The sequence below is a fragment of the Homo sapiens genome, chromosome 11 (genome assembly GCF_000001405.40).
Source record: "Homo sapiens chromosome 11, GRCh38.p14 Primary Assembly".
Lineage (NCBI taxonomy): Eukaryota > Metazoa > Chordata > Mammalia > Primates > Hominidae > Homo > Homo sapiens.
In genome coordinates, this window is record NC_000011.10 from 3,290,724 (window position 1) to 3,302,957 (window position 12,234).

The 12,234-nt window shown below is 45.8% G+C and overlaps 3 annotated features.

Moving 5' to 3' along the window:
• Nucleotides 8,759-9,628: an enhancer, noted in NCBI's record as "H3K27ac hESC enhancer chr11:3320712-3321581 (GRCh37/hg19 assembly coordinates)". NCBI's record gives its function as "activates a minimal SCP1, AML or CMV promoter by ChIP-STARR-seq in naive H9 embryonic stem cells {active_cell/tissue: H9 hESC(naive)}" and the evidence as "EXISTENCE:reporter gene assay evidence [ECO:0000049][PMID:30033119]".
• Nucleotides 10,498-11,366: an enhancer, noted in NCBI's record as "H3K27ac-H3K4me1 hESC enhancer chr11:3322451-3323319 (GRCh37/hg19 assembly coordinates)". NCBI's record gives its function as "activates a minimal SCP1, AML or CMV promoter by ChIP-STARR-seq in naive H9 embryonic stem cells {active_cell/tissue: H9 hESC(naive)}" and the evidence as "EXISTENCE:reporter gene assay evidence [ECO:0000049][PMID:30033119]".
• Nucleotides 11,367-12,234: an enhancer, noted in NCBI's record as "H3K27ac-H3K4me1 hESC enhancer chr11:3323320-3324187 (GRCh37/hg19 assembly coordinates)". NCBI's record gives its function as "activates a minimal SCP1, AML or CMV promoter by ChIP-STARR-seq in primed H9 embryonic stem cells {active_cell/tissue: H9 hESC(primed)}" and the evidence as "EXISTENCE:reporter gene assay evidence [ECO:0000049][PMID:30033119]".

Consider the following 12,234-nt stretch of genomic DNA (forward strand, 5'->3'; position numbering starts at 1 on the left):
ACACTACCCAATGGCTAACCCTGCTTCTGTGGCCAGCAAGGCAGTATCTGCCTGGGTTTGAACAGTGTATGAGGAGTCACACCCGGTACACCCTGGGGTGTGGGCTGGTCCTCCAGGAAGCAGATGCCCAGACAGATAGGACTGCGAATGTTTATTAAGGGAAACACTATGGAAATGAGAGGGAGAGGAGGCAGCACCGGGCACGGAGCACAAAACACGTTGGATACTCTTCCAAGATATCACGGCTCAGGAGAGTCTTCCAACGGTCCTGTAAGGTAACAGGATTCTGGTCTATTTCCATGTGATCTTCTTTTGCCCAACATACATTTTGTCTTCTATAAAATATCTGTGCCCCTGCTGAATGCATCTGTGGGTGGCTGCATCTGTGTCTGTATGTCATGGAGAATAATTATCGACAGATCACAGATACAGATCTCAGAGGTGAACTGTGTATGCATTCCCGTAATTTCCTCATCTCGTAAGGATCTGAATTTTAATCTTGGATATAGGCGCTTTCCCTTATCTTTTATAACAGAGGTTGGAAATCCCAGGCCTGAGCTGTTACACCCTAAGGTTTATTTAATGAACTTCGGTGAATATCTTTTGCTGATCTTCTGAGTGGGAATATTTTCATTTAACCAGCGAGAGGGGTGAGGGTCTAACACCTACCAGCTGTTTTGCAAGATGCTTTCTTTATAGGCTTGGTCTCTTAGTGCTCACAAAGACCTCATAACCACATCATTCCTGGCTCATTTATATCTGAAGCCTCAAGCCAAGAGAGGGGCTTTGGTGATGGTGGCAGGGCCAGGGGGCCTCTCCAGGAAAGGGCGAGGAGTTTGCACGCCAAGCATGGGAGATGCAAAGCTGGGCGTCGCGGAAGGAGAGGGTGCTGGGGATGAGACGATGCCAGAGCAGCTCAGCATGGGCCTTGATTTCCCCACCAGAGGTGGCCTCATTCTGAAGGCCAAGGCCACAGCTCCACTGCACCTGACCCATCCTCACTGTTAGTCTCCTTGGGCCTAAAAACTCAGGGAGACAGGGCCCCCTGACAACGAAGTGAAATTTCCCAGACCTTGAGGCATTTACTCACCCTGATTCAAAGCCTTCACACATCCGGGGAAAGATTCATCTTTCCTACAGGTAACGGACTAAAGGCTGTAGTGCAACAAGTAAGTGCTGGGGGCAGTAATTGCCTGTGCGCACGGTGCATCTGAGCTCTCCCACGGGGGCTCTGTGTGGCACTCATGCAGCCTCCACACCCCTGCTCACAGTGCTTGCTCGGCCAGAAGCAGCCTTCCAGCTCCACCTGAGTGCAACAAAGCCCCATGTGACGCCTCCCTGCTTCATCCTTCTCTTCCACAGCCTCCTGTTTATTCCCAAGAGATTCTGTCTCTGCCTTCTGCACCCTGGGTCCCTTCCCCTGTGCTTCCATTAGGAGTGGTCAGAGGCTCTGTGCCCTTCTGTGTGGGTCTCTCTCCTGCAGGACACAGGATACCCTGCAAGTCAGGGATGGGTCTCATCCCTCACAGAGCTGGTCCTATGGCCCAGGTTCCATACACGCCTGCAGAACTGGTATTTCTGGATTCTATAAGCAATCTCTGGCTGGGCACAGTGGCTCATGCCTGTAATCTCAGCACTTTGAGAGGCCAAAGTGGGCAGATGGCATGAGTCTAGGAGTTCGAGACCAGCCTGAGCAACATGGTGAAGCATGGTCTCCACAAAATTAAAAAGAAAAAAATTAGCCAGTCATGGTGGCGCAGGCCTGTAGTACCAGCTACTCCAGAAGCTTAGATGGGAGGATCACCAGAGCACTGGAGGCGGAGGTTGCAGTGAATCAGGGTTGCACCACTGGACTCCAGCCTGGGTGATAGAGCGAGACTTTGTCCCCCTAAAATAAAAAATACTATTTCCTCATCTACAAGAGAACCCTGCTGCCAAGGTCAGCATGAATGGCTTTGGCTGAGAACAGGAGGTCTTAAGTTTTTATTTTGTTTTACACAGTGTATATTTTTTCAGCATTTTCATACTTAACAGTGGAAGTGCTAGTGGTGGTTTTAGATAAAGCTTAGGCTCATCGCTAGCTTGCTGTTTTCTTCCACACAGATTTTCCTGTCATGCCTTGCTGTTGACAAAGGCCAGGAGCCCAGAGGAGAGAGTGCTCCAGGACTCAGTGCTTGTCCTTCTACTCACATATACTTTGAAGTCTGGATGTTTGCCGTCTTCTAGTTACAGTGGGTGGGGTGGGCTCAGTAAGGTTTTATTTGTTCTCTATTCTTTATTTTTTGGAGGATTTGTTAAGAATTTCAGGTTTATGCTGCCTCCATGACCTCAGCTACCCCAAATTCTTTCTGATGTAATATTTATTATTTTCTTTTTCTGGGTGTCTTCCTTTGTTATTACTTTGTTATTCTTTTTTAGTTTTTTAGTTGAAAATGTGGTTCATTTGTTTTATTCTTTCATTTTTTTTGCTTTTTAAAAACTGATGTAAATATTAAAAGTGATAAGAGTTTGAGCTATGTTAAACACACTCCATACATTCTCACATGAAGTGCTTTCATTACCATTACTTTTTAGAAATTCTGAAATTTTGGTTTGCATTTCCCCTTTCGCCCAAGAGTTGTTTAATAGAGTCTTAAATTTTCCATGGGAAGAACCCTGCTCTGTTTCCATTTATTACATTTATTATTAATTTCTAGCTCTATTGTCTCACAACTATGTATAAGGCTGTTTAGCTATAATTTTATAGGATCATCAGCAGAGTTTTGATGATATGCTGTTTTCACTTCATGTCTTGACTTTAAAATCTACCATACCCAGGCTGGGCGTGGTGGCTCACGCCTGTAATCCCAGCACTTTGGGAGGCCGAGGAGGGTGGATCACGAGGTCAGGAGATTGAGACCATCCTGGTTAACACGGTGAAACCCTGTCTCCACTAAAAATACAAAAAATTAGCCAGGCGTGGTGGCGGGTGCCTGTAGTCCCAGCTACTCAGGAGGCTGAGGCAGGAGAATGGGGTGAACCCAGGAGGCAGAGCTTGCAGTGAGCCGAGATCGCACCACTGCACTCTGGCCTGGGTGAAAGAGCGAGACGCCGTCTCAAAAAAAAAAAAAGCAAAAAAAAAACTACCTTACCCATGTAAGATGTGATTTCACTGGGTAATACAGCCTCACAGCACTCTACAGTTTCTAATGAGCTTTAGTTTATTTCCTGTTCATTATTTCAATGGTCCTAATAGCATTATCTTTCTCTTTGGATGACAAAACTCAGAAAGGGGAAGCAACTCACTCAAAGTCACACACGTTCGAGTGGCATGGCTACAGTTTGATCCAGGCTTGGCTCCCTCCAAGCTGGTGCTCATTCAACTTGGTAAGATTTGTGCCTGGAACCCACGACACGCATCCTACTTGTTGGTGAAATATTAAATTTTATCCCCTTAAGATTGGGAACAAAACAAGAATGTCTCCTTTAGCCACTTCTACTTAGCGTGGTACCAGGGGTCCTAGCCAATGCAATAAGGCAAGAAAAATAAGTAAATGGCATACATATCAGAAAGGAAGAAGGAAAAGTGCATTTACTCACAGAGAATGTGATGGTCCATATACAAAATCTCAGAAAACTGCAAAAAAGCTATAAGACAAGGATAAATGTCAACATACAAAATCAATCATATTTATACTAGCAATGAACAGGTAGAAATTGAAATAAAAATATTATTTACAAACATACCAAAACCACGAAATACTTAAGGATAAATTTCACAAAATATGTACAACTTCTATCCATTGAAGACTGCAAAATATTGCTGAGGAAAATTAAAGATGAAATAAATATAGAGAGGTAGTATTTTATTTACAAGGCACTTTAAGTGAAAATTCCATCAGGCTGTTTTTCTGGCACAAGCTGTCAAACTGATTATAAATGCATATGGCAAAGCACATACAGTGAGTTGTGGAGCCCTGCTAACCACAGTGTAATCCAGCCTATCCTGCCTGATATGGCATTAATTGCTTATGATTGATGACAGCCGCTGTTTTGTAAGCACTGTTTGTAAACCAAGGACTTGTGTTTTTACAAAATTATGAAGAGATAGATATTCATTTCTCCACTTTACAGGTGAGGAAACAAGACCTATAGGGCTTCTATCAGCAGTCCCCAACCTTCTTGGCACCAGTGACTGGTTTCATGGAAGACAATTTTTCCACCAACAGGGTCAGTGGGGACATGGGGGATGGTTTCAGGATGAAACTGTTTCATCTCAGATTATCAGGCATTAGATTCTCATAAGGAGTATGCAGCATAGATCCCTCGCATGCATAGTTCACAAGAGGGTTTGCACTTCTCTGAGAATCTAATGTTCCCACTGATCTGACAGGAGGCAGATCTCAGGTGGTAATACTCGCCTCCTGCTGTGTGGCCCAGTTCCTAACAGGCCATGGACTGCTACTGGTCCACAGCCTGGCGGTTGAATACCCCTGGGTTATATAACTTGACATCTGATGAGACCCGGCTATGAGACCTGGACCTGAGTCAGTTTAAGGCCTGAGGATGTTGCTCTTAAAACCATGACCACTTTAGAAAACCCCTGGCAGACACAGCCTAACTCCTGAGTATCCTCCAAAGCATTTATGTATCTTCCCTGAGTTCACAGAAGTGCTCAGCAAATGCTTACGACCACCTAACTGGTCAAGGCACAGTTTGGTTTTATACATTTAGGGAGACATGAGACATCAATCAATATATGTAAGAAGTACATTGGTTTGGTCTGGAAAAGTGGGACAACTTGAAGCAAAGGCAGGAAGACTCGAAGGGAGAGAGCTTCCAGGTCACAGATAGGTGATACACAAACAGTTACATTCTTCTGAGTTTCTGATTAGCCTCTCCAAAGGAGGCAAATCAGATATGCAATTCAGTGAGCAGAGGAGTGACTTTGACTGGAATGGGAGGCAGGTTTGCCCTCAGCAGTTTCCAGCTTGAGTTTTCCTTAGTGATTTTGGGGGCCCAAGATATTTTCCTTTCACAGCTCCCAAACCACTCCTCTTATATTAACACTTATTATGGTTGTCCCCAGTAACACCAATTTAGTTAAATACAAAATGCATTAAAAGTAGACTCTCTGAAGCAATAGAAAAGCCTCCAAAGGGGTATAGAAAATCTGATGGAGAATCACTGAAATTAAACAATATCAGGTCCTAGGAGGTGTCCTGGCCTGTGTGTGAGAAAACGTGGTACAGTTGTAGCCCTTGTTCTGACTATTCCACTAGATAAATTTGAGCAAGTCAGCTACAGTCTCCTGATTTGTAGGATGGAGGGGCTGGACAATCTGGCTGTGCCACCCCCACTTACTGAATGCACTAACCATGGCTCAAAGAGATTAAGTGACCAAGTCCACTCACTGGCTGAGTTGAACGAGGACAGGAGCCCAGGAAGATCTCTTTTTGCCTATTACTTTATCTACTGCACCTACATCTGTTAGAAATGCAAAATGCTTATTCTTCAGTGCTGCAAAGAAATAGCACTTGAACATAAATTTAATTCTCTCAGCAAGGCCATTTTTACTTTCTGCAGAAAGGGTGCCCATCACAAATGGAACAATGGTGAGAGCACACCTGAACAAAGGAAAACAGACATATTTATCCCTTACGCATTTTGGTCCTCCTTACTGCTATGTCTTGCATCCATTGGCTGGAGCTGGACCTCACAGTCTTAAACTGACACCTGATTTACTAATAACCTAAAACTTTCCTAAATAGGTAAGTGCAAGGGAGAACAAAGAAGGAGAGGAAGTTGCTTATGAAAAGTTTAAGGAAGCAATAACATTTCCAAGTAAGGAAGGGGCATAAGCTATGAGCTAAGTCTTGCCTGGGCTTGTCCAGACATGCCTGAATAAGCCAAAGCGACTAACTGGGCTAAAGTGTAAGAACTAACAGTTGATAGGAGGCTTTAGAGTAAGGAGCTATTATTCCTAGTGTCTATTATTTTATTTTTAAACCAAGATGAACTTTGAAGAGGAACTTATTCTACTTTCTACAACATCTCTCTGAGATTCCAAGTCCAGTTGCCAGAGCTCTGAGATTCTAAGCCCAGCCTCTTCGATGCTACAAGCTTTACATATGACCTTTCCCCAAAACCCCTGACCCACTTCAAGATTGGTAAGTCACTCCATAGTCTTTCTAGAAGGTCTGGTGGCTGGATAGCCTCTCATTTCCTTGACTGGCATTACTCAGCCCCAGAGAGCTCAGAACGATCCTGGGCAGGACAATTGCTGGTGTTTAGTAGACTCTGAGTTTGCACTTCTCAGCAGATGGCTTTTCATGTCCACGTGTTAAATATAGTGAACCCCAAGTTTCTTTTCAAAGAATCAGTATGGCAGTATGTTTAGCTCTCTTATTCTTTGATTCTCCACTTTAAAGTTTATCTTCCTGGTTCTCCTTGCCCTCTTGCCTCTAGTTTCAGTTAACAACCTTTTCCACCACTTTTAATCAGTAGTTCACATCTGTTCCCCTGGTCACCTGCTCTGTTCTGACTCATCCCAGTCACCTGCTCTGACCTAAGTCACCTTTAGTTACCTGTTCCTAACCGTCCTTCCTGCCAAACTACTCACCCCGCTACTCTGGCTCGTACTCCTGCTCTTTTTAAAATAGCCAATTGGAATTAGCTCAGACTACGCAGTCCAACCCTAACCAATAGGGGAACGACACAGCAGTAGGGGCTACCTGTGTCAGGAATAAGAACTCCTTCCCCTCTCCTGTCCAAGTGTGCTCTCGTCATTGTTCCATCTGTGAGGAGCACCCTTTCTGCAGAAAGTAAAAATTGCCTTGCTGATAAAATTAAATTTATGTTCTAGTGCTATATCTTTGTGATATCGAGGAACAAGCATTTTGCATTTCTAACACATATCTGGACATCCCATGTCAAAGTCGAGTTTAGGCAATAAATAAGTTTGTGTAAAGTCAGACCCAGCACTCCAAAGTGTAGTTACTCCCATTCTTGTGCCCAGCAAGAATTTCCATGAGGGTTCTGCCTGTAGGATATAATAAATTCCTCTTCAAAGGTTTTAGCCTGTAAATTGTTAAGTACAACGAGTTCTGAGATCCTCTCCAAAGAACCAGTGCATCAGTGTGTTCAGCTTCCCTGTTCTTTGTTCTTCATTTTAAAATTTAACTTCCTCATTCTCTTTGTCTCCTTGCCCCTAGTTTCAGTAAACAACCCCCTCCTATCCTCTATCCCGTGCTCTGACCTTAGTCGCCCCTGGTCACCTGCTTCATCCTGAGTCACCCCTGGTCACCTGCTCTGACATGAGTCATCCTGAGTCACCTGTTCTGTAACTGTCCTTCCTGCCCAATTACTCACCCCACCACTCTGACTCGTGCCCCGCTCTCTTTAACATAGCCAATCGGAATTAGCTTAGACAGTGTAGTCCAACCCTAGCCAATAGGGGAATGACACAGCAGTAGGGGCTGCCTGCATCATGGATAAGAACACCTTCCCCTCCCTTGTTCAGGTGTGCTCTTGCCATTGCTCCATCCGCGAGTCACACCTTTCCATAGAAGTAAAATTGCCTTGCTGAGAAAATTAAATTTATGTTTGAGTGCTATTTCTTTTTTGGCACCGAAAATTTATTTCTAACATGCACATCTGAAAATGAAAAAAGCCCTAAAACCTTAACTGCTTACCTTTCCTTCAACTTTCTGCCATTTTTCATACCCACAAGAAGCATAAGAGGTCCTTTTTCTTCCTCCCTGTGAGAATGTCAGCAAATGGTTAACACAGATTGCTGGTTTAGCAGTAGCCACAGGGAGGGAAAATGTGAGCTATTAATGTTACTTTTTTCTACAGGCAGTGTGAGCATTTGAAGCTAATAAACTCTCATCTGCGGGGTCACACACCTCAATATATGTACATATTGCTAATGAGTGTTTGTAAAATAGGCAATAATGGCTCAAAATAAACTATCTCAGAATGGCTAATAAGTAATAAGCCTCTTGCCTTTAAAATTAATAATAAAAAAGAGGCATATTGTGTGTAGCCTACCCTGGGTGAAAAGGGGGTGCAACAGAAAATGTGTCCAAGACTCAGCTCTTGTCCTCCCTTTTATTTCTGGCATAGCAGGAAGGCACGGCCCTATAAAGCACTGGCAAAAGCAAAATCTGCAAACACAACACCAGAGAAATTCAGAATTTTAGATCTGGAAAGAACTTCTGCATCCCTTGAACCCCAGCTTGCCTAGTCCTTAGCTCGCAGTGACTTGCCCAAGATCACTCAACGCAAAGCAGCAAATGCCCACGGGAATCTTCCAGTCTGAGGAAGTTAAGGTTTGGGGGTTTGCCATAGATGTCACTGGCCTGGAGTTCGGGAGTCCTGCATTTGTCCCTAGCTCTGCTGCTGTGTGACCTTGGATACAACCTTAAACCTCATGGGGCATCATGTTCCTCTGCAAATAGAAGTAGTGGCACCTCTTCACAGTGTTGCCATGGGGATTACATGAGATCACATAGGTAATAGAATTTTGTAAATATAAAATTACATTAAATGAGACCCATCAAGCGATAAGCTGAGTGAGAAATGCTATATTTTTAAAAGTGATATAGTTACAATGATTATAAAATCTCAGAAAGCCAGTTGTGATCCAAATTAATAAACATCTCCATCTTTGCAGCAGAAATAATTGCCTCTGGAGTCATAATAATAACAGATATTTATTTACACCTTTCCTGGTTACCAAATGCCTTGAATACAGCTGCCTGTGTTGACTCTCATTGAGGAAAGCAATGGAGACCCAAGGCTAAGGGCAGCCAGCAACACCCCAAGGTCGCCGAGTTAAAGAATGGCAGGGCTGGACTTCCCACGCTCAGTGAGGACAAAGCCATTTTGCCTCTGGAAAGAAACTGCCTGGTCTGGGCAGCCCAATATCCCAAAGAGGTTGCCTATTATTGACAAAGACTCTTCAGGACCCAGGACCACTGCTGGGCTGGTTTGAAACATCACACGGAGAGTCTCCAAGGGTGGGACTGAGCACCCAGACGATAGAGCAGCCATATCTCTGGGAGGCATGGCACTCCCACAGTCTCTGGAGTGGGAGACCCTGCTCAGGGCACCAGGAGGTGAGACTCCACACAGCCGTGTGGTGTCCCTGAACTTAGATCCTCCTTCTAGCTGTCAACACTTCTTATATACCAGTGCAACGGCATAAACCCCTGAGTCCTTTCCAGTCCCCAATCCCAAATTCCAACAGGACCTGCAACTGAGGCCCAGCGGTGTTGACTCAGGATGATAGCCAAGCTAGGGAAGAGGTTAGAGCCCCCGGCGAGGAGTCCAGGCCATTTTCCACTGCTGCACTTACCACCCGGCTGAGACCCCGCCAGGAGCCCAGAAGTGAGCGCCAGCCACAGCTGCTCTCCAGTGGCTTCTGCCCCTCTGCACGGCCCCTTCTTTATAAATGACAGCTATTTCCACATCCTGTGCAGGAAGGTGACAACCGAGATGGCCTAATTTTACCTGATTACATAGAAATTCAGTGTTCTGGGGAAGCACCTACATTTTCCTGTGATTATCCCTCTGTTCCATCATGATGAGATGACTGTGAACTTGGACATCTCGTCTTGATTTTCTCATGTGTAACTTGGTGAAAAAGTCACATACTTTCTCTTATAATATCCTAAAACAGATGGGTAATATAGCCCAGGACTGAGTTAGATTCATTAATTCGGCTAAGTTGAAATAACCTGGCATTGTGACTGCATAATATGGTCTCAGCCCAGTGATAAAAAAATGGACTTGAAGAGATTCTTCCCCAAGTGTTTCATTTTAATTTCATGTTGATCAAGTTAGTAATTCCGGTCAAAGTGGGAAGAAGCAAAAAAAAAATACATTTCCTCAGTTCATGGTCAATAATTTTGTCCCCATGTGGACATTAGTGCTCTCTGGCTTCTCACCAGGGGGCTGGAAGGCTTCCATCTGATAATGGGCTGTAACGGATGGATGGTGGATTTGCACAGCGTGTAGACGGTAATGGATGGATGGCGGATTTGCACAGCGTGTGGTCCCCAGGGGAGACAGCAGTCTTGTGACTAAGAGGATGGGAGCCTCACAGGGCAGCACAGCTCTCTCAGCTCCTGGAGCGTTTCCGCCTGAAAATAGGCAGCGACTGTGGTTTATAAACGCCCAGAAGGCAGCGTTTCAGCCATCTCCTCTGTTATTGTGTGAGGAACCAGGCAGAGATTTGTAATGACACGAGGACGGGAAGCGAGTCGATGGGTCAGGCCTCCTCCCGGGTGCAGAGCACAAGTGTGGGGCCCTTCTTCCCATAAAAGTGGGGAGGTGCCTGCATCGGCCTGAATTTATCATTCTGTTCATTTCCCAGAAGCATTCATTAACATTAAGCCCTGAGATCGACAGTTAATAATCACTCTAAATAATTCAGATATAATAAATTACAAGCTGTGACTGTGACCTTAGGTAAATATTAAAACAAACAGCAACAATAACAACCACCACCCAAGGACTGTGCTGTTGCTAGTGAGCCTAGGAAACTGTTTGTCTTTCTCAGGAGAGTCCATTTATCTGAGGGATAGAATTCAAATGAACTTCAAAAGCATCCAGAGCGTTTGTAAAAGCACGATTGAGCCGGGAGCAGTGGCTCACGCCTGTCATCCCAGCACTTTGTGAGGCCGAGGCAGGCGGATCACGCGGTCAGGAGATCGAGACCACCTTGGCTAACACGGTGAAACCCCGTCTCTACTACAAATACAAAAAATTACCCGGGCGTGGTGGTGGGCGCCTGTAGTCCCAGCTACTCGGGAGGCTGAGGCAGGAGAATGGCGTGAACCCGGGAGGCGGAGCTTGCAGTGAGCCGAGATCGCGCCACTGCACTCCAGTTTGGGGACAGAGCGAGACTCCATCTCAAAAAAAAAAAAAAAAAAAAAAAAAAAAAAAAGCGCGATTGAAAACCAGCGGCTATAATCCCTACAACGGTGTTAACATTTACGTTGGCTGGGGGCCCTGCTTCTTCAGGGCCGTGAGGCCATGCTGACAGCAAGGAAGGCAAACTCGGGAAGCCAGTCCCCCCAGAGTGGAGCCTCCACCCACAACACTCCTCAACAGCGGCCTGGGAGGATCCGCACGCCCCTCTGGTGAGTCAGCACGCAGCTCTGCCTCTTTCGAGGCCAAGCCCTGCACGTTCTAGCCTCACTGGGATTAAATCTGTATTCACATTTTCGTTTTTTATATTATCTGTTTTCCACTCCTCTCTCCTCTAAAACTTAAAATCCTATCTCAACTGAAATTAGTGCTTTTTTGGTACAAAACGTTTATCCTCATTCTCCTTCGGTCCATTTTCAAGGATCATATTAATGCAACAATCAGATAAGAAAGGCCCTTGTAACGCCAAAGCCATTTCAAAGGAGGAAAGAAAACCCTGACCCATTTGGGGTAGGACTAAGAACCAAGTCATTCCTTTTTAAGATGTTTAGTTGTGAATAACAGCTGCCCTCCAAGCTTCCTGGCAGGAAGTTGAACAAGAGGAAGAGGGACCAGTTGGCTTAAGACCGACCCCCTGCAGGGGCCACTAGGCAGCTGCTCCCGGTCCGCACCGCTGCAGAGTGCAGCAGTGGCCCCGTCTGCATCCTGGACCCAGGCCCTCGTGCATAGGCATCGTGCTGGGGAGGAGGAGGCTGCCTCTGGGTTTCTGGCGCTGCTGGGCAAGGTCAGGCCCAGTCCCTAGAGTCTGCTGGGCTGGCAGGATGGCGGTGGTGGGGGGCACAGTGCGGCCCCCCTCCATGCTGAGGTGTCCTGAACATATCAAGGAGTGCAGGTGCCGCGCTAGCCACGGGGGCTCAGAGCCCAGGTCCCAGTCTGGCCCCTCTCCCGGAGCTGGGCGTGGCTGTGGGGCTCTTTGCTGCTACAGACCATAGCCACGCTCGCTGCGAGGGTGCCAGGTGCCACACACCTACGTTTGCTTTGCCAGCATTTTCCTTCCTTTTGCTTTTCCCATCCCTTTCTTTCTGAGATTAGGAAGGAAAAGGAAGGGAAGGAAACCTAATCGGGTGACTCGAGGAACTAGATCTTATTCAGTCATTCCAGGACCATCAAGGCAGGAATTATTATTGCACCGACACATTGCTTATAAGGACAGAACTAAGGCTCAGAGAGATTGAGGAAAGGGCACACAGCTGCCCAACAGGCCAGTGAAGGAGCTGGGCTTTCGGCTGAAGGCTCAGTCTCTCTGACATCCACGTG